This window comes from Homo sapiens, chromosome 19 (genome assembly GCF_000001405.40).
Source record: "Homo sapiens chromosome 19, GRCh38.p14 Primary Assembly".
NCBI classification, from domain to species: Eukaryota; Metazoa; Chordata; class Mammalia; order Primates; family Hominidae; genus Homo; species Homo sapiens.
The window spans coordinates 52,924,808-52,944,086 of NC_000019.10; the positions used below are offsets into that span (position 1 = coordinate 52,924,808).

Here is a 19,279-nt window from a genome sequence, read left to right on the forward strand (position 1 = left end):
GCAATTCTTCTGACTCAGCCTGCATAGTAGCTGGTATTACAGGCACGTGCCATCATGCCCGGCTAATTTTTGTTCTTTTGGTAGAGACAGGGTTTCACCATGTTGGCCAGGCTGGTCTCAAACTCCTGACTTCAAGTGATCCGCCTGCCTCGGCCTTCCGAAGTGCTGGGATTACAGGCGTGAGTCACCGTGCCGGGCCCAAGAAATACTCTTTACTTCACTTTTTAAATGTTGAGAAAATACAATTGAAAACTAAAAAATCTTCCCCAGATGAAAAATCATCTTCACTATGATAACAGAGAAGGAAATAACAACCATTTTATTAATAAAGAGCCTTAGACCTGAATGTAATGGGAAATAGAGGCAAACAGTTGAGAGGTTGAAAACAGAGAGAGAAACTTCACTGTTCTATACAACCCATTAAGTACATGTTTTCTTTTGTCTTTTTTCTTTCTTTTTTTTGGAGACAAGAGTCTCACTCTGTTGCCCAGGCTAGAGTGCAGTGGCAAGATCTCAGCTTACTGCAGCCTCCACCTCCTGGGTTCAAGCAATTCTCCTGTCTCATCCTCCTGAATAGCTGGAACTACAGGCGTCTGCTACCATGCTGGGCTAATTTTTGTATTTTTAGTAGAGACGGAGTTTGACCTTTTTGGTCAGGCTGGTCTCAAACTCCTGACCTCAGGTGATCCACCTACCTCAGCCTCCCAAAGTGCTGGGATTACAGGCGTGAGCCACCGCGCCCAGCCTAAGTACATGTTTTCAAGATAAACACTAATCAGTCCTCAGGGAAGAGGACTTGACAATACCCTTGGTCACACATAGTTCATCCTGGCTCTACTTGGTAATGGAGGTGACCATTTGTGTCAGCTAATTAGCTTCATCCTGAGGAAGGGGGGAAAACGCTAACCCATGTCTTTTTGACAAGTGTGAGTTTTACAACATGGCGACAGGTGCCATCTCTAGTGAGGCTCCTACAATCCGACAGAAACCGACATCAGCAGTAAATAATAAAATTTAGAATACATGATTAAGTATAGAGTTTATGTGAACACAAAACTTGAGGATAGCCACCTGGAAACATCAACTCCAAATGAAGGGGGTCTGTGTTCCCAAGTAGAGATGTTAAGGTTTCACACACAGGGAAAGACAGAGAAGCTTTACCAGAATCAACACATTTTCCATTCAAGACCAGTGGATAAGTTGCAGCAACTTGACTGGTGATGGATTGATACAGTTCAAGAAAGGTTACTTTATCACTACATAAGAAGGGACAATCGGCCAGGTGCGGTGGCTCACGCCTGTAATCCCAGCACTTTGGGAGGTGAGGCGGGCAGATCACAAGGTCAGGAGATCGAGACCATCCTGGCTAACACAGTGAAACCCATCTCTACTAAAAATACAAAAAATTAGCCGCGTGTGGTCATGGGCGTCTGTAGTACCAGCTACTTGGGAGGCTGAGGCAGGAGAATGGGGTGAACCCAGGAGGCGGAGCTTGCAGTGAGCTGAGATTGCACCCCTGCACTCCAGCCTGGGTGACAGAGAGAGACTCCGTCTCAAAAAAAAAAAAAAAGAAAAAAGAGGGACAATGATGTCAAGAGGTCTTGTCTCTGGGGCTGCTCAGTCTTCCTAATTATCTACAGGAAAACTTTTGTGTTTTTTTCTTTTCTTTTTTTTTTTGAGACAGAGTTTCGCTCTTGTTGCCCAGGCTGGAGTGCTATGGCACTATCTCGGCTCACCACAGCCTCCGCCTCCCAGGTTCAAGCAATTCTCCTGCCTCAGCCTCCCGAGTAGCTAAGATTACAGGCATGCATCACTACGCCTGGCTAATTTTGTATTTTTAATAGAGACGGGGTTTCTCCATGTTGAGGCTGGTCTCGAACTCCTGACCTCAGGTGATCTGCCCACCTCAGCCTCCCAAAGTGCTGGGATTACAGGCGTGAGCCACCGCGCCCGGCCCTCTTTTTTTATTTTTTTGAGACAGTCTCGCTCTGTCACCCAGGTTGGAGTGCAGTGGTGTGATCTTGGCTCACTGCAACCTCCGCCTCCTGGGTTCAAGCAATTCTTCTGCCTCTGCCTCCTGAGTAGCTGGGACTACAGGTGCACACCACCATGCCTGGCTAATTTTTGGTATTTTTAGTAGAGACGGGGGTCTCACCGTGTTAGCCAGGATGGTCTCCATCTCCTGACTTCGTGATGCTCCCGCCTTGGCCTCCCAAAATGCTGGGATTACAGGTGTGAGCCTCTTTGCCTGGCCAAAACTTTTCTTTTTTAAATTGATATTAGGAAACTGAATTATATAGCTTTTTTTTTTTTTTTTTTTTTTTTTTGGTACGGAGTCTTGCTCTGTTGCCCAGGCTGGGGTGCAGTGGCATGATCTTGGCCCACTGCAACTTCCACCTCCCCGGATCAAGCAGTTCTCCTGCCTCAGCCTCCCAAGTAGCTGGGAATACAGGCGTGCCCCACCATGCCCTGTAATGGCTTTGTATGTTTACTGGAGACGGGGTTTCACCACGTTGGCCAGGCTGGTTTCTAACTCCTGACCTCAAGTGATCCGCCCACCTCGGCCTCCCAAAATGCTGGGATTACAGGCTTGAGCCACTGCGCCTGGCCAGGAAAACTCAAAAAAGTTGCGCCTGCGGCTGGGCGCGGTCATTCATGCCTGTAATCCCAGCACTTTGGGAGGCTGAGGTGGGTGGATCACAAGGTCAGGAGATCAAGACCATCCTGGCTAACACAGTGAAACCCTGTCTGTACTAAAAATACAAAAAATTAGCCGGGAGTGGTGGTGGGTGCCTGGAGTCCCAGCTACTGGGGAGGCTGAGACAGGAAAATGACGTGAACCCAGGAGGCGGAGCTTGCAGTGAGCTGAGATCGCACCACTGCACTTCAGCTTGGGCGACAGAGCGAGACTGTCTCAAAAAAAAACAAAAAACAAAAAAGAAAAAACCTTGTGCCTGCATGCCACTGGACTCTTGTTGCATGACCACGTTCCTCTCAAGGCTCAGAATTATTTAAAGGTCGGTAGCTTTTAATTTGAAACATTTGATGTTTGAATTATTTAATTTCCTACTAAGATACAGGTACTATCTCCCTTGTTTGCCTTAAAAGGATCGCTCCCAAGTCCTTCAGAAATACATCCCTGGGTCATTAAACTGAAAAAAGGTTTAGTTACTTTCTAAAAAATACCACTTCAGGCCGGACGCGTGGCTCAAGCCTGTAAATCCAGCGTTTTGGAAGGCCGAGGCGGGTGGATGACCTGAGGTCAAGGGTTCAAGACCAGCCTGACCAATATGGAGAAACCCCATCTCCACTATAAATACAAAAATTAACCAGGCGTGGTGGCATGCACCTGTAGTCCCAGCTACTTGGGAGGCTGAGGCAAGAGAAACGCTTGAGCCCAACAGACAGAGGGTGCAGTGAGCCAAGATTGCACCATTGCACTCCAGCCTGGGCAATAAGAGTGAAACTCCGTCTCAAAAACAAAAAATTAATAACAATAATAAATAAGGCCAGTGCAGAGGCTCGCTCAGGTGAGACTCCGTCTTAAAAAAAAAAAAAAAAGAAAGAACACTACCACTTACACAGTAGGGCATTCTCAAAAACAAGGGCAACGCCACCTCTTTTAAGTTTTGTCTTTCAAGATGTGATTTGCGACTGAAAACTTTTTCACATTCTTCACATTTGTAAGGCTTCTCTCTAGTATGAAGTCTATGATGACGTGCAAGGTGTGCTTTCTGATTAAAAACCTTGCCACATTCATTACACTTGCAAGGATTCTCTCCAGTATGAATTGCCTTATGAATTACAAGGGCTGAATTTCAACCAAAGGTCTTGTTATGCTCACTACACTTGTAAGGTTTCCCTCCAGTATGAAGTCTACGATAGCATGTAAAGGATGACGTCTGACTGAAGGTCTTGCCACACTCATAACAACTGTAAGGTTTCTTACCAGTGTGACATCTATTATGGCATACAAGGAATCAATTCTGATTAAAGACCTTGTCACATACCTCACATTTATATTGTTTCTATCCTAAATGGATTATCTGATATTTCCTTAAGAGTTAGCTATAATTAAAGGATTTGCCACTCTCATTACATTGGAAAGATTTTTCTCTCATGTGTACTTCCCAATTTTTGTATGGGTAATGAAGAATGGAGGGAATTATTCCCATAGTTATTAGAAATACGGGTTTTGGGACTACAAGAAATTCTTTGGGATGTCAAAATTAAGGAGGCATTGATGATAGACTTCTCAACTTGATTACCAATTTTCCATTCAGGCTGAAATATGTGGAGTTCAGGCAGATGCGAATGAAAGCTGGATCCAAGCTGATCTTTAATAGGCTTGTTTCCAGCATGCCTTTGATCATGTCGGTCTGTACTACCAGTCAACTCTTTGATTTCTGTCATGGGTGCTTCGTGACCATTCCTTTCCTCTTCTTGCCACTGAAACTCAAAGTTATGAATATCTTTCTCAATTTCCTGGAAGCAAAAATCTCTAATGTGATGACTTTCATGTCTTTGCAATGTCCCTGTGTGGATCACTTCTGTATTGCCTTGCGCTGTGGATGAGAACTCCTTCATCATGCATTTGGAAGAGATATCTACAAAATATAAACACCAATAGGTTTCTAATTAAGTACAGATGATAAACAATACTGAAATGTGTAAATATGAACCAAAAAAACAATTCTTATTTTAAACTTTCCAAACATGAGCTTCAAAGTTTAGGAACACAAAAGGAGTAAGATTCTATAACAAATAAAGGGTGATAGCATGTACTTCAAGTCATTTCTATGGAAGCCTATTTCTAATATCATGACAAAACACTGACAGGGCACAAACATGTGTAAGCCTAAAGTATGGAGTGTTTTTCCACTGTGACCCTAAAGTGTATGAGAGTTTGCAAAAAACATATCACTGTCTATGAAAGAAGAAAAAAATGTATTCTTCATACTTACAGCATATTTACTGTATACAAATAAATGCTGTAGGACCATACAATATACTATATTGGTAAATAATCCACAACAAGCTCATGTAAGGATAATCAAAATCAATGGAAATTCTGTATTGTCAAACAATCATAGCACTGAGAAGATAACAAAAGATTACAAAACTTAGCCTTGTGTCATGGCCGGCACCTGTATTCCCAGCTACTCAGGAGGCTGAGGCAGAAGAATTGCTTGAACCTGGGAGGGAGAAGTTGCAGTGAGCCGAGATCGCACCACTGCAATTAAGCCTGGGCGACAAAGTCAGACTTTGTTTCAAAAAAAAAAGAAAACAATAAAAGAAAATGTTAATACAATATTTTTCTAGATAAATATCATAAAATTACCTTTATCCATGCAGAACAGGCACTTTGTGACTTTAAAAAAATTTGGTAGTTTTATTTTTTTGAGACAGAGTCTTGCACTCCAGGCTGGAGTGCAATGGCAGGATCTCGGCTCACTACAACCTTTGCCTCCACGGTTGAAGTGATTCTCCTGCCTCAGCCTCCTGAGTAGCTGGGATTACAGGCACACGCCACTATGCACAGCTAATTTTTGTATTTTTAGCAGAGATGGGGTTTCACCATGTTGGCCAGGCAAGTCTCAATCTCCTGACCTCAAGTAATCCACACGCCTTGGCTCCCCAAAGTTCTGGGATTACAGGTGTGAGCCTCTGTGCCTGGTGGCACTTTGTGACATTAACAAGTGGAATGTGTCAGTTATATTGCATACCAGATACTTAAAAGCCATATGTAAAATCAGAAAAATTAATAATATATTGTAACCCATGATAAAACCAGCAAGAAAATAAGTACATTTATATAGCCTGCAGAATTGTAAGCAATTCTCTCTTAAGAAAAAGTCCACAATGTCTACTTAACCACCAGCACACCATATAAGACCTGAAATACATATTAAGATCACTACCTTCTAGACCAGGCATGGTGGCTCACGCCTGTAATCCCAGCACTTTGGGAGACCGAGGCAGGCGGATCACAAGGTCAAGAGATCGAGACCATCCTGGCCAACATGGTGAAATGCCGTCTCTACTAAAAATACAAAAATTAGCTGGGTGTGGTGGTGTGTGCCTGTAATCCCAGCTACTCGGGAGGCTGAGGCAGGAGAATCACTTAAACCCGGGAGGTGGAGGTTGCAGAGAGCCGAGATCGCACTACTGCACTCCAGCCTGGTGCAGAGCAAGACTCCGTCTCAAAAAAAAAAAAAAGCCCACTACCCTCTGATGTAGGAGGTCAAGAAAATACACAACAATGCTGGGCACGGTGGCTCACACCTGTAATCCCAGCACTTTGAGAGGCCAAGTCGGGCAGATCACGAGGTCAGGAGATCGAGACCATCTTGGCTAACATGGTGAAACCCTGCCTCTACTAAAAATACAAAACGTTAGCTGGGCGTGGTGGTGGGCACCTGTAGGCCCAGCTACTCAGAAAGATGAGACAGGAGAATGGTGTGAACCTGGGAGGTTGCAGTGAGCCGAGATGGCGCCACTGCACTCCAGCCTGGGGGACAGAGCTAGACTCTATCTCAAAAAAAAAAAAAAAAAAAAAAAAAGAAAGAAAGAAAGAAAAGAAAAGAAAAGAAAATACATAGCATTAAAAGGAATAAGAATTGACTAACGGCCGGGCACGGTGGCTCACACCTGTAATCCCAGCATTTTGGGAGGCTGAGGCTGGCGGATTATGAGGTCAGGAGTTTGAGACCAGCCTGGCCAACATGGGGAAACCCCATCTCTACTAAAAACACAAAAAAATCAGCTGGGCATGGTGGTGGGCACCTGTAATCCCAGCTACTTGGGAGACTGAGGCAGTTCTTGTGGGTGGAGGATTACCCGGGTGCCGAGGCAAGAGACTGAAGGCACAAACCATTTCAGTATAATAAAGAAAATAGTTAGAATAAGAACAATCACAACACAAATTAGATACAGAGATGATCATGGACAATTATCAATCATTATTATAAACAGTATAAATCTTTAGCTTTTAATATTACTCTTTGTGGCATTACTAATATAACCTAGGAATAACTGGCGGGTATAGGGTCAGGTGCTGAAGGGACATGGTGAGAAGTGACCTAGAAGGCAAGAGGTGAGGCCTCTGTCACACCCGCATAAGGGCCGCTTGAGGGGTCCTTGGTCAAGCGGTAACGCCAGTGTCTGGGAAGGCACCTGTTACTTAGCTGACCGCGAAAGGGAGTCTCCTTTCCTTGGAGGAGTCAGGGAACACTCTGCTCCACCAGCTTCTCGTGGAAGGCTGGATATTATCCAGGCCTGCCCGCAGTCATCCCGAGGCCTAAACCCCTCCCTGTGGTGCTGTGCTTCAATGGTCAAGCTCCTTGTCCACTTTCATGCTCCTCCCGTACTCCTGGCTCCTCTTTGAAGTTCATAGTAGATAGCGGTAGAAGAAATAGTGAAAGTCTTAAAGTCTTTGATCTTTCTTATAAGTGCATAGAAGAAAATGCTGATGTATGCTGCCTTCTCTCTCTGCTTCGGCTACCTAAGAGGGAAGGGCCCCCTGTCCCGTGATCACGTGACTTTCTTCACCTTGTCAATCACTTAGAAGATTCACCCTGCTTACCCTGCCCCCTTGTCTTGTATGCAATAAATACCAGCGAGCCCAGCCTTTCTGGGCCACTACCGGTCTCCTCAACTTGATGGTAGTTGTCTCCCAAGCCCAGCTGTTTTCTCTTTATCTTTTTGTCTTGTGTCTTTACTTACTACAATCTCTTGTCTCTGCACACGGGGTGAATACCCGCTAAGCCCCATAGTGCTGGACCCTATAAGTTCTATATATATGCATTGAAGGGGGCCTGACCCTCCACACCTGTGGGTATTTCTCATCAGGTGGGATGAGAGACTCAGAAAAGAAAGAAGACACAGAGACAAAGTATAGAGAAAGAACAGTGGGCCCAGGGGACCGGCACACTCAACATGCAAGGACCTGCATCGGCGCCAGTCTATGAGTTTCCTCAGTATTTATTGATCATTATTTTTACTATTTTAGCGAGGGGAGTGTAGTAGGGGAACAAGTGGGGAGAAGGTCAGCAGGGAAACATGTGAGCAGAGGAATCTGTATCATGAATAAGTTCAAGGAAACATACTGTGCCTGGATGTGCAATTAGGCTAGATTTTTGTTTCTCTTCACCCAAACATCTCAGTGTAGGAAAGAGTAAAAGAGCAGTATTACTGCCAGCATATCTCGCCTCCAGCCATGGGGCGCTTTTCTCCTGTCTCAGAAGAGAACGAATGGGAATGGTCGGCTTTACACCGTGACATTCCATTCCCACGGATGAGCAGGAGACAGAAGCCTTTCTCCCTTTTTTTTTTTTTTTTTTGAGATGGAGTCTCGCTCTGTCGCCCAGGCTGGAGTGCAGTGGCACGATCTCAACTCACTGTAAGCTCTGCCTCCCAGGTTCACGCCATTCTCCTGCCTCAGCCTCCCAAGTAGCTGGGACTATAGGCACCCGCCACCACACTTGGCTAATTTTTTAGATTTTTAGTAGAGACGGAGTTTCACCGTGTTAGCCAGGATGGTCTCGGTCTCCTTTTCCCGTGATCTACCCGCCTTGGCCTCCCAAAGTGCTGGGATTACAGGTGTGAGCCACCACACCCAGCCTACAGAAGCCTTCCTCTTTTCTCAACTGCAAAGAGGCCTTCCTCTTTCACTACTCCTCCTCAGCACAGACCCCTTATGGGTGTCAGGCTGGGGGATGGTAAGGTCTTTCCTTTCGCATGAGGCCATATCTCAGGCTGTCTCAGTGAGGGGAAACCTTGGACAATACCCAGGCTTTCTTGGGCAGAGGTCCCTGCGGCTTTCCACAGTACATTGTGCCCCTTGTTAATCGAGAATGGAGAATGGCGATGACTTTTAGCAGGCATACTGCCTGCAAACATATTGTTAACAAGGCACATCCTGCAGGGCGCTGTGGCTCATGCCTGTAATCCCGGCACTTTGGGAGGCCGAGGCAGACAGATCACGAGGTCACGATATCGAGACCATCCTGGCTAACACGGTGAAACCCGTCTCTACTAAAAATACAAAACAAATTAGTCCGGCATGGTGGCGGGCACCTGTAGTCCCGGCTACTCAGGAGGCTGAGGCAGGAGAATGGCATGAACCCAGGAGGTGGAGCTTGCAGTGAGCCAAGATTGTGCCACTGCAATCCAGTCTGGGAGACAGAGCGAGACTCCGTGTCAAAAATTAAAAAATAAAAAAAAATAAAAAAAAAAAAAAACAAGGCACATCATGCACAGCCCTAAATCCATTAAACCTTGATTCAGTACAGCACTTTTCTGTGAGCACAGGGTTGGGGCTAAAGTTACAGATTAACAGCATCTCAAAGCAAAACAATTTTTCTTCATATGGACCAAAATGGAATTTCTTGTCTTCCTTTTCTACATAGACACAGTAACAATCTGATCTCTCTTTCTTTTCCCCACAATGCATTGCCCTTATATAGTTTGCTATGCATAAAATGCAAAACATAGAATGTGTACTGGGAAAATTTATAAACTGAGTCAGAGAAAACTTTGTAGAAAACAAACTGCACAGCAAAAACAAAAAATATGATGCAGGCTATCTGGCCTAAATGTTTGTATTGGCTAAAAGTCATTATCAGATTTCTTATTCTCCGATAGGATGTTCCTGCAGATGAGGCCTTTTATAGAATTTGGTCTTCTGTGTTGACTGTTCATGAATAGGACTAATGCTTTTATTTTTATTTTTTCTTTATTTACTGATTTTTGAGACGGAATTTTGCTCTTGTTGCCCAGGCTGGAGTGCAATGGCATGATCTTGGATCACCACGACCTCGGTCTCCTCAGTTCAAGCGATTCTCCTGCCTCAGCCTCCCGAGCAACTGGGATTACAGGCATGCGCCACCACGTCCGGCTAATTTTGTAGTTTTAGTAGAAACGTGGTTTCTCCATGTTGGTCAGTCTGGTCTCGAACTCCCGACCTCAGGTGATCCGGCTGCCTCGGCCTCCCAAAGTGCTGGGATTACAGGCAAGAGCCACGGCGCCTGGCCAGGACTAGTGCTTTTATAAAAAAGAGACAGTAAAGTGTTCATTGCCTGTTCCTCTTTACACCATGTCAGGACACAGGAGGAAGATGGCTGGACGAAACCATGAAGAAGGATCTCACCAGGAACCAATCTGGTTGAAATCTTGCTCTTAGATTTTCCACTTTCCAGATTCATGAGAAATAAATTTCTGTGTCTGAAGCTTTCTAGTTTACACTATTTCTTTTTTTGTCTGTTTTTGAGACTGAGTCACGCTTCATCACCCAGACTGGGGTGTAGTGGCACGATTCTCCTGCCTGAGGAGATTCTCCCGCCTCAGCCTCTGGAGTAGCTGGGACTAAGGCACACGCCACCACGCCTGGTTAATTTTTTTTGTTGGGGGGGGGAGACAGAGTCTCCCACTGTCACCCAGGTTGGAGGGCAGTGGCACGATCATGGCTCACTGCAGCATAGCCTCCCGGGTTCAAGTGATTCTCCTGTCTCAGCCTCCCAAATAGCTGGGATTACAGGTGCACCAAGCTCAGCTAATTTCTGTATTTTTAGTTGAGACAGGGTTTCACCATGTTGGCCAGGCTGGTCTTGAACTTCTGACCTGAGGTGATCTGTCTTTCTCAGCCTCCCAAAATGCTGGGATTACAAGGGTGAGCCATTGCGCTCAGCCAATTTTATTTTCATTTAGTAGATTTGAGGTTTCATTATGTTTGTGCAACTGGTCTCAAAATCCTGACCTCAAGCGATCTACCCACCTCGGCCTTTCAAAGTGCTGGAATTAGAGGTGTGAGTCACCGCGGCTGGCTAGTGTAAGCTATTTCTGACAGAACAGTGAAATGAGCGAGACAGGAAAAGAGGCATCTCATCACCAACATCACCGAAGGCTGACAAATCTTATTAAACAAAAAAAGTTTACAGTCTGTACCATAAAACTTCCAATATGTGAAGCAATCTAAAAGCATTAACTTTTAAAAACCAGGCGGGTGAATCACTTGAGGTTGGGAGTTCGAGACTAGCCTGACCAATATGTAGAAAGTTCATCTCTACTAAAGATACAAAAATTAGCCAGGCACTGCCGGGAACGGTGGCTCACGCCTGTAATCCTAGCATTTTGAAAGGCCGAGGCGGGCGAATCACGAGGTCAGGAATTCGAGACCAGCCTGACCAATATGGTGAAACCCCATCTCTACTAAAAATATTAAAAAATAGCCGAGCTCTGTGGTGCACCGTGAGGAAAAGCAAGAGAGATCAGATTGTTACTGCGTCTACGTAGAAAAAGGAAGACAAAAGAAATTCCACTTTGATCTGTACTAAGAAAAATTGTTCTACTTTAAGATGCTGTTAATCTTTAACTTTTGTCCCAACCCTGTGTCACAGAAACATGTGCTGTATTGACTCAAGGTGTAATGGATCTAGGGCTGTGCAGGGTGTGCCTTGGTGAAAATGTGTTTGCAGGCAGTATGCTTGGTTTACCACTGCCATTCATTGCCATTCTCCATTCTCTATTAACCAGAGACACAATACACTGCGGAAGGCCGCAGGAAACCCTGCCCAAGAAAGCCTGGGTATTGCACAGGTCTCCCCCGACTGAGACAGCTTGAGATATGGCCTCATGGGAAGGGAAAGACCTGACTGTCCCCCAGCCTGACACCTGTAAACGGTCTGTGCTGAGGAGGATTAGTGAAAGAGGAAGGCCTCTGTGCCATTGAGATAAGGGGGAAGCATCTGTCTCCTGCACGTCTCTGGGAATGGAATGACTCAGTGTAAAACCGACCAGACATTCTATTCTGAGATAGGAGAAAACCGCCCTATGGCTGGAGGCGAGACATCATGGCGGCAATACTGCTCTTTACTGCACTGAGATGTTTGTGTAAAGTCAAACATAAATCTGGCCTACATGCACATCCAGGCACAACACCTTTCCTTAAACTTATTTATGACACAGAGTCTTTTGCTCACATGTTTTCCTGCTGAACTTCTCCCCACCATCACCCTATAGTCCTGCCACATTCCCCTCTCCAAGATGGTAAAGATAGTGATCAATAAATACTGAGGGAACTCAGAGGCCAATGCCGGTGCAGGTCCTCACTTGCTGACCGCCGGTCCTCTGGGCTCACTTTTCTCCCTCTGTACTTTGTCTCTTTTCTCAGTCTCTCACCTCCACCTTGTGAGAAATATCCATGGGTGTTGGAGGGACAGGACCCCTTCACAAAGTGGTAGAACTATGGGCGTGAGCCACTGCACCCAGCTACACATTTACATTATAGCATCTTGACCTTCGGCTCCCCAGCTGCCTTGTGACTCGGTGTGTGTGTGTGTGTGTGTGTGTGTGTGCATGCTCGCGTGTTGTGACAGGCAAGAAAAAGCCACTAGAGCATCATCGCCACTGGCCTGGTAGGAGGAGGTTGCCCTTGGGCTGCAGTTCACTGTGCTGTTTGCACTCTTGATCCTTGGAAGAATCTTCCTGAAGTCACGGAGCCTCCAGCTCCTCTGGAACAGAACTAGTTGTGTAGGAGTGTGTCCTTCATGCCCTCAGGTCCCTGACCTTCTCCCCACCCTTCCTGAAGGGAATCCAGAACCCCTGACTCTGAGCTCATCACCTGCTTGTGGCAAAGTCCCTGCCCATAACGGCCAAACTGGGTCCTGGTGATGTGCAGAGCACGGAAGACCCAGGAGCTGGAGTAAGGCAGTGGCACAGGTGATAAAAGTGGGGATGCCTCGGCACTGCCTGAGGACACAGGGTCTGGCCTGTAAGGCTTTTCTGACCCTAGTGAGGCCTTCTCTTCTTATTTTGACTGAAATAAATAGCCACAGGAAGTTCAGATCAATTAGAGTTGAAATTTCAAGAAGAAATGTGGGACCATCCTCACACTTGCCCCAGGCCCTGAGTCTTCCCTGAGGATGCCTCAGCATCTGAACTATAACCCCAGAGTAGGTGCTGCAGTTGTCCTGTGGCCAAGATGAGAACTGTGCATCCTTCAGTGAAGGGAGACACAAAATTTTCAAAATAACCCATGCAGAAAGGTGTTTCTGGGTGGGCACGGTGGCTCCCGCCTATAATCCCAGCACACTGCTAGGCCGAGGCAGACAGATCACCTGAGGTCACGAGTTCAAGACCAGCCTGGCCAACATGGTGAGACCCTATCTCTACTAAAAATACAAAAATAGGAGCAGGTGAGTTGGCTCATGCCTGTAATCCTAGCACTCTGGGAGGCCGAGACAGGTGGATTACTTGGGGTTAGGAGTTCGAGACCAGCCTGGCCAACATGGTGAAACCCCATCTCTACTAAAAATACAAAAAGTAGCTGGGCTTGGTGGGTGTCTGTAATCCCAGCTACTCGGGAGGCTGAGGCAGGAGAATCGCTTTAACCTAGGAGGTGGAGGTTGCAGTGAGCCAAGATCGTGCCACTGCACTCCAGCCTGGGTGACAGATTGAGACTCAAAAGTAAAATAAAATTAAATTAGAATTAAAATACAAAAATTAGCCAGGTGTGGTGGCACACACCTGTAATCTCAGCTACTTGTGAGGTGAGACACAAGAATCGCTTGAACCCAGGAGACAGAGGTTGCAGGGAGAGATGTCATGAGACTGCACTCACAGCCTGGATGATAGAGTGAGACTCTGTCTCAAAAAATAAAAAAATAAAAAGAGCATTTCTGATGTGACTGATGCAGAGATAATAAAATCTGAGTAATGTGATAGAGACTGACAGGCAGAGGGAACTTCAGATGGGGGTGGGAGGGCATGGGAGACATCTCTGAGCCTAGACCTGAAGGAGGAAATAGGGAAAGGGCCATGATAATTTAGGGACATAGGGTAAGAGCAGGGACAATGACCAGAGACAGGCAGGATTTTAATTTTTGGGAAAACAGATAAGCAAATGTGACTGGGGCAGAGGGAGTCATGAGATGAGGGCAAGCTCCCAGGAGGAGGCTGGACACTGGCAGGGGCCCTGGACACAGGGCTATGGAGCCACAGTGAGGAGTTGGGCTTTCAACATTTGTCCACATGGACCAGAGGGCCTTGAGGGAAACATGCACTTAATAGCTCACAGCTCAAGATTTTAACAATGACATAAGGAAAGAAAACTGAAAAACAGACTAACTGGTTAAACCACATTTTGATGTCAAAGGTTGCCAATAAATAATAAAGAGTAGAAAGCATGCAGACCTCGATCTGAACCGGACGCAACTAATTTCAAACAGAAACTACTTTGAAATTGTTTTGTAAAACTCGAACAAATTCAGATGTCAACGGGAAAATAACTAGAACATATACTTGTACAGAAAGGAATGATGTGAGCTGATTATAGGATGCCACAAAGGCATCTTTCAGAAGAAGTGATTATGGATTAAAAAAGGAATTTTTAAAATTAACATTTATCTCAAACTCCAAAAAAAAAAAAAGAAAGAAAAAAAAAAAGAAAGAAATGAAGAGGAACCAGAAAGAAAAAAAGGAAATCTATTACACAACGAGAACAAAAGCACTTTTGATGTCCCTTTTGTTTTTTAATTTTTTGTTTTTTTTTTTTTGAGATGAAGCCTCGCTCTGCCCCCCAGGCTGCAGTGCAGTGGTATCATTTCGGTTCACTGCAACCTCTACCTCCCAAGTTCATGTGATTCTCATGCTTCAGCCTCCCGAGCAGCTGGAACTACAGGTGCACGCCACCACGCCCACTTTACTTTTTAGTGTTTTTACTAGAGACGGGGTTTCACCATGTTGGCCAGAATGGTCTTGAATTCCTGACCTTAGATGATTGGCTCCCAAAGTGCTGGGATTACAGTCATGAGCCACCACGCCCAGGTTTGATGTGCCTTTTTTTTTTTTTTTTCCATTTTTCTTTTTTGAGATGGAGTCTCACTCTCGCCCAGGATGGAGTGCAGTGGCGCAATCTTGGCTCATTGCAACCTCCACCTTCCACCTTCAAGTGATTCTCCTGCCTCAGCCTCCTAAGTAGCTGGAATTACAGGCACGTGCCAACATGCCCAGGTAATTTTTGAATTTTTAGGAGACAGGATTTCACCATGTTGGTCAGGCTGGTCTCAAACTCCTGACCTTGTGATCTTTGTGATCCACCCGCCTCAGCCTCCCAAAGTGCTGGGATTACAGGCGTGAGCCACTGCACCCTGATGTCCCTTTTAAAAAGTACTATGGGATGGGCATGGTGGCTCACGCCTGTAATCCCAGCATTTGGGAGACTGAGGTGAGCGATCACCTGAGGTCGGGAGTTCGAGAGCAGCCTGAACAACATGGAGAAACCCCATCTCTACTAAAAACAAATTTAGCTGAACGTGGTGGCTCATGCCTGTAATCCCAGCTACTAGGGAGACTGAGACAGTAGAATCGTTTGAACTCGGGAAGTGGAAATTATGGTGAGCCGAGACTGTGCCATTGCACTCCATCCTAGACGAGAGCAAGATTCCACCTCAAAAAAAAAAAAAAAAAAAAAAAAAAAAAAAAGACTCTGTAGGCCAGGTGCGGTGGCTCCTCTCTGTAATCCCAACTGTAATCCCAGTAATTTGGGAGGTCAAAGCAGAAGGATCCTTTGAGCCCAGAATTTTGAGACCAGCCTGGGAAACATAGTGAAACCCCTTTTCTACAAAAAAAAAAAAAAATACAAAAGCTAGCCAGGCTTGATGGCTCATGCCTGTGGTCCCAGCTACTCGGGTGGCTAAGGTAGGAGGATCGCTTAAGCCTAGGAGGTCGAGGCTGCAGTTAGAGGAGATCATGCCACTGCACTCCAGCCTGGCCGATACAGCCAGACCCTGTCTCAAAATATTAATTAATTAATTAAATTTATACTATTATATGATAACAGAAAGTGATTTTTTTCTCCCACTTCACTGCCCCACTTCCTATTCCATCCTGGGAAAAGGGAAGAGAGTGTCTAACAAGTGAATGAAGACACAACCCTCTGGCTGAATAGGGATTCCAACTGGAAGCTAACCTCTGATGCCAAGATTTATAGAATGTACATGTCTCATAGATAGGAATTTTAAAATTCTCAATCTCATCTGTATAATTTAAACAAGTTTTAAGTTATTAAACTACATACATAGAAGTCAGCATGTCACAACGAATCATATCTAATGAACTCACCCACTCATCTGAACCCAAAGTTCCCCGCCCCTTTTTTTCTTTTGAGACAGGGTCTTGCTCTGTTGACCAGGCTGGAGTGCAGTGGCATGATCTCGGCTCACTGCAGGCTGGACCTCCTGGGCTCAAGTGATCCTCCTGCCTCAGCCTCCAGAGTAGCTGGGATTACAGGTGTGTACCATCACATCCAGTTAATTTTTTTTTTCTTTTGGCAGAGATGGGGGTCTCACTATGTTGCCCAGGCTGGCCTCGAACTCCTGGACTCAAGCAATCCCCTTGCCTCAGTCTCTTAAAGTGCTGGGATTACAGGCGTGAGCCACTGCGCCCAGCCCCTCTGTCTTCATTACTGTGCTTCCCTCCCTAATTCTGTACATATCTCTCATTCTCCCCTTCTCTCTCTAGCTCTTGTTTTCTTTTCTTTTTCCCTGGGATTCTGCTCTTCATTTTGTACCCCTCTCCTCTCCTGCTGTTTATCCCCTTCTTCCCTCTATTACTTCTCTTCCACCTCTTCTGCTCCATCGTCGCAAATTCTTTAACCTCTTGTTGCTCCTTCTCCCCAATCTTTCGATCATCCTCAATCTCCATATATTTCTGCCTCTTCTCCCATCTCTGCGCCTCCTCTGCTCTCCCTGTTAAATTATCTCTTCCCTGTTAAATCCCCCTTTCCCCAATCTCTAGCACCCCAGATCCCCAGGTGTCCTCCCTGCTGTGCTTCTCCCTCTGTTCTTGCCACCAGCACCACTCTGCTCTGTCTGCCCTGGCTCCAAACCCCTCCTCCTCTCCCTCACTCTGATGAGCCTCCCTCTTTGCTGCCCCCTCCCTACCTTGCTCTTCTTCATCTCTCTGTACATCAAGCTTTTCTCTACTTTTCTCCAGTTCCTTTTCTCCTCCTGTTTTTCTTATCCTTTTTTTTTTTTTTTTTTTTTCCACTTTTGCTGTCTCTTGGCAAATCCTTCACCCATCCTCTACGCTACCATCTGTTATGGCCTTTCTCATTCTTCTTTTCTCTGTCTCAGGTTTTCTACTGCTCTCTCTCTCAGTCTCCCGATCCCTTTGGCCAACACAATCACAGGAGGGCTTTGAAGTAAGATGCCTGCATCCCGGAGGAGCGCATTTTCCAGAGGCTGGTGCAGGGCAGGCAAGAACACACGGTGTCATAGGACAGCCCCGGGCACCTCCCCAACGCGGGCTCAGGAGAAACGGTGATTACGGAGGGAAGACCTGGGGAGCATAAGGGCCCGGCACGAGGAGGGAGGTGGGGGGCGACGGCGCCTTAAGACAAGACTGGGAGGCGCCCAGGGCGGGAATCCGCCTCGCGGTAAGGACTTTAAAAAGTGCGGGTTGGGAGGAGTCAGAAAAAAGTTTTGAGCAGGAAAACTACGCGATGGGAAGTGTATACGTTACCCTATAGCAGAAAGATTCGGGACGGGACCGGTCTATGGTGACTTTAAACCCAAAAGGAAGCGACCCCCAGACTCTCACGGGGACTTCTCAATTTGCTCTGGGTAAAGAAAGACGGAGGAGAACTTCCAGGTCTATGAGGACCCCACGTCCCAGGTACAGAAGCGCCTGGGACCCGGGAAGCGCAGACTTAACACAACACAGAGCAAAACTCACCCCCGCGGTGGGACCGTCACTCCACGCGACCCGCTTCCGGGTTTGTGCGAATCTGCTCTCTGGGGACAGAAGCCAGGCCTGGGCGGGACCCGCGGGGAGGTAGGCGGGGCCTGAGCGAGGTAGGGGCGGGGCGCGAGGCGGAGAGACCTTGCCCTTCAGAACAGACAGAGGGCGGGGCGGGGGCGGGGCCGGGGCGGGACCTGTGCGTCTCTCAGCCTGGCTCCCAGAGCCTCAATTTTTCGGGTTTTGGAGGCGAGACCGGCCAGGAAGGCTGAGGCATGATTCAAAAGCCCTGGAATTGTCTGGAAGGGGATGCAAACTAGAATGTGAAATGCAAAGCCCTGCCTGGGCGGAACATACGATTTCATGCTGACGGCCCACAGAACAGAATAGAAATCCTCTCCCTTTCTATTTTCCATTCACTCAGGAGGGACAGTCCACCCTGTGCTCAGCTTCAGAGACTTCCCCAGGGCCTCCGCCTGGGATGCGGGACCGAGTGCTCAGGCCAGGGAGGAGTGAGGTCACCACCTGCTGCTTAAACACAGCAGGAATGCGGGCGCGGGGGCGGAAGTCTGAGGTCCCAGCTGCTCAGGAAGCAGCGGCGGGAGGATGCTGAGCCTGGGGGTCCAAGCCAGCCTGGGCGACAAAGTAACACCGCCTCCCGCAGCGCTCCCTTCCTTGTCTCTCTCTCTTTTTTTTTTTAACTTTTTTTTAAATAAAATTTTTGATTTTGTGAGATGGGGATCCAACATTGTTATTTTTCATGTGGATATCCAGTTAGTTGTCCCAGCACATTTGTGGAAGAGATCTATTACTTTCATTTTTATATTTACATTTTTTCTTTTCTTTCCTTTTTTGAGACAGAGTATTTCTCTGTTGAACAGGCTGGAGTGCAGCGGCGAGATCTCCGCCTTACTGCAAAATTCACCTCCCGGATTAAGGTAGTTCTCTTGCCTCAGCTTCCCAACTAGCTGGGATTACAGATGCGCGCCACCAAGCCTGGCTAATTGTTTTGTATTTTTAGTAGAGACTGGGGTTTCATCACGTTGGCCGGGCTGGATTCGAACTCCTGACCTCAAGTGATCCACCCGCCTTGGTCTCCCAAAGTGTTGGGACTACAGGAGTTAGCCACCGCGTCTGGCCAGGAAAACTCTTAGAAGTTGCGTCTGCAGCCGGGCGCCGGTGGCTCACGCCTGTAATCCCAGCACTTTAGGAGGCTGAGGCGGGCGGATCACGAGGTCAGGAGTTTGATGCCAGCCTGGCCAATACGGTGAAATCCTGTCTCTACTAAAAAATACAAAAATTAGCCAGGCGTGGTGGTGCGTGAATGTAGTCCCAGCTACTTGGGAGGCTGAGGCAGGAGAATCGCTTGAACCCAGGAGGCGGAGGTTGCAGTAAGCTGAGATCATGCCACTGCACTCCAGCCTGGGTTACATAGTGAGACTACGTCTCAAAAAGAAAAAAGAAAAAAGAAGTTGCGTCTGCATACCACAGGACACAGGTTGCATGACCACATTCCTTTCAAGGCTCAGAATTATTTAAAGGT

The 19,279-nt window shown here is 46.6% G+C and overlaps 1 protein-coding gene and 1 pseudogene across 2 annotated transcripts in view, besides 3 other annotated features; both read right to left on the bottom strand.

The window, feature by feature from the left end:
- Window positions 1-2,327: 2,327 nt before the first annotated feature.
- On the bottom strand, window positions 2,328-17,787 carry ZNF321P (zinc finger protein 321, pseudogene; annotated as a pseudogene). The gene is made up of 2 exons (NR_037805.1): window positions 17,734-17,787; window positions 2,328-4,607 (listed from the first exon to the last, which is right to left on the bottom strand). The product of NR_037805.1 is annotated as a zinc finger protein 321, pseudogene (transcript).
- The window catches only part of ZNF816-ZNF321P (ZNF816-ZNF321P readthrough), a 35,747-nt gene continuing 18,795 nt past the window's right edge, over window positions 2,328-19,279 (bottom strand). The window contains exon 4 of the mRNA NM_001202473.2: window positions 2,328-4,607. Within this exon, the coding sequence (NP_001189402.1) occupies window positions 4,096-4,607 (512 nt within the window). The 3' untranslated portion in view covers window positions 2,328-4,095. The remainder of the gene's footprint in view (window positions 4,608-19,279) is intronic.
- Window positions 17,735-18,559: an enhancer, noted in NCBI's record as "H3K27ac-H3K4me1 hESC enhancer chr19:53445795-53446619 (GRCh37/hg19 assembly coordinates)". NCBI's record gives its function as "activates a minimal SCP1, AML or CMV promoter by ChIP-STARR-seq in primed H9 embryonic stem cells {active_cell/tissue: H9 hESC(primed)}" and the evidence as "EXISTENCE:reporter gene assay evidence [ECO:0000049][PMID:30033119]".
- Window positions 17,749-17,958: a silencer, noted in NCBI's record as "silent region_11001". NCBI's record gives its function as "represses an Ori minimal core promoter by ATAC-STARR-seq in GM12878 lymphoblastoid cells {active_cell/tissue: GM12878}" and the evidence as "EXISTENCE:reporter gene assay evidence [ECO:0000049][PMID:35858748]".
- Window positions 18,298-18,483: a silencer, noted in NCBI's record as "fragment chr19:53446358-53446543 (GRCh37/hg19 assembly coordinates)". NCBI's record gives its function as "represses an EF-1alpha promoter that drives an FKBP-Casp9 reporter gene in an ReSE screen in K562 erythroleukemia cells {active_cell/tissue: K562}" and the evidence as "EXISTENCE:reporter gene assay evidence [ECO:0000049][PMID:32094911]".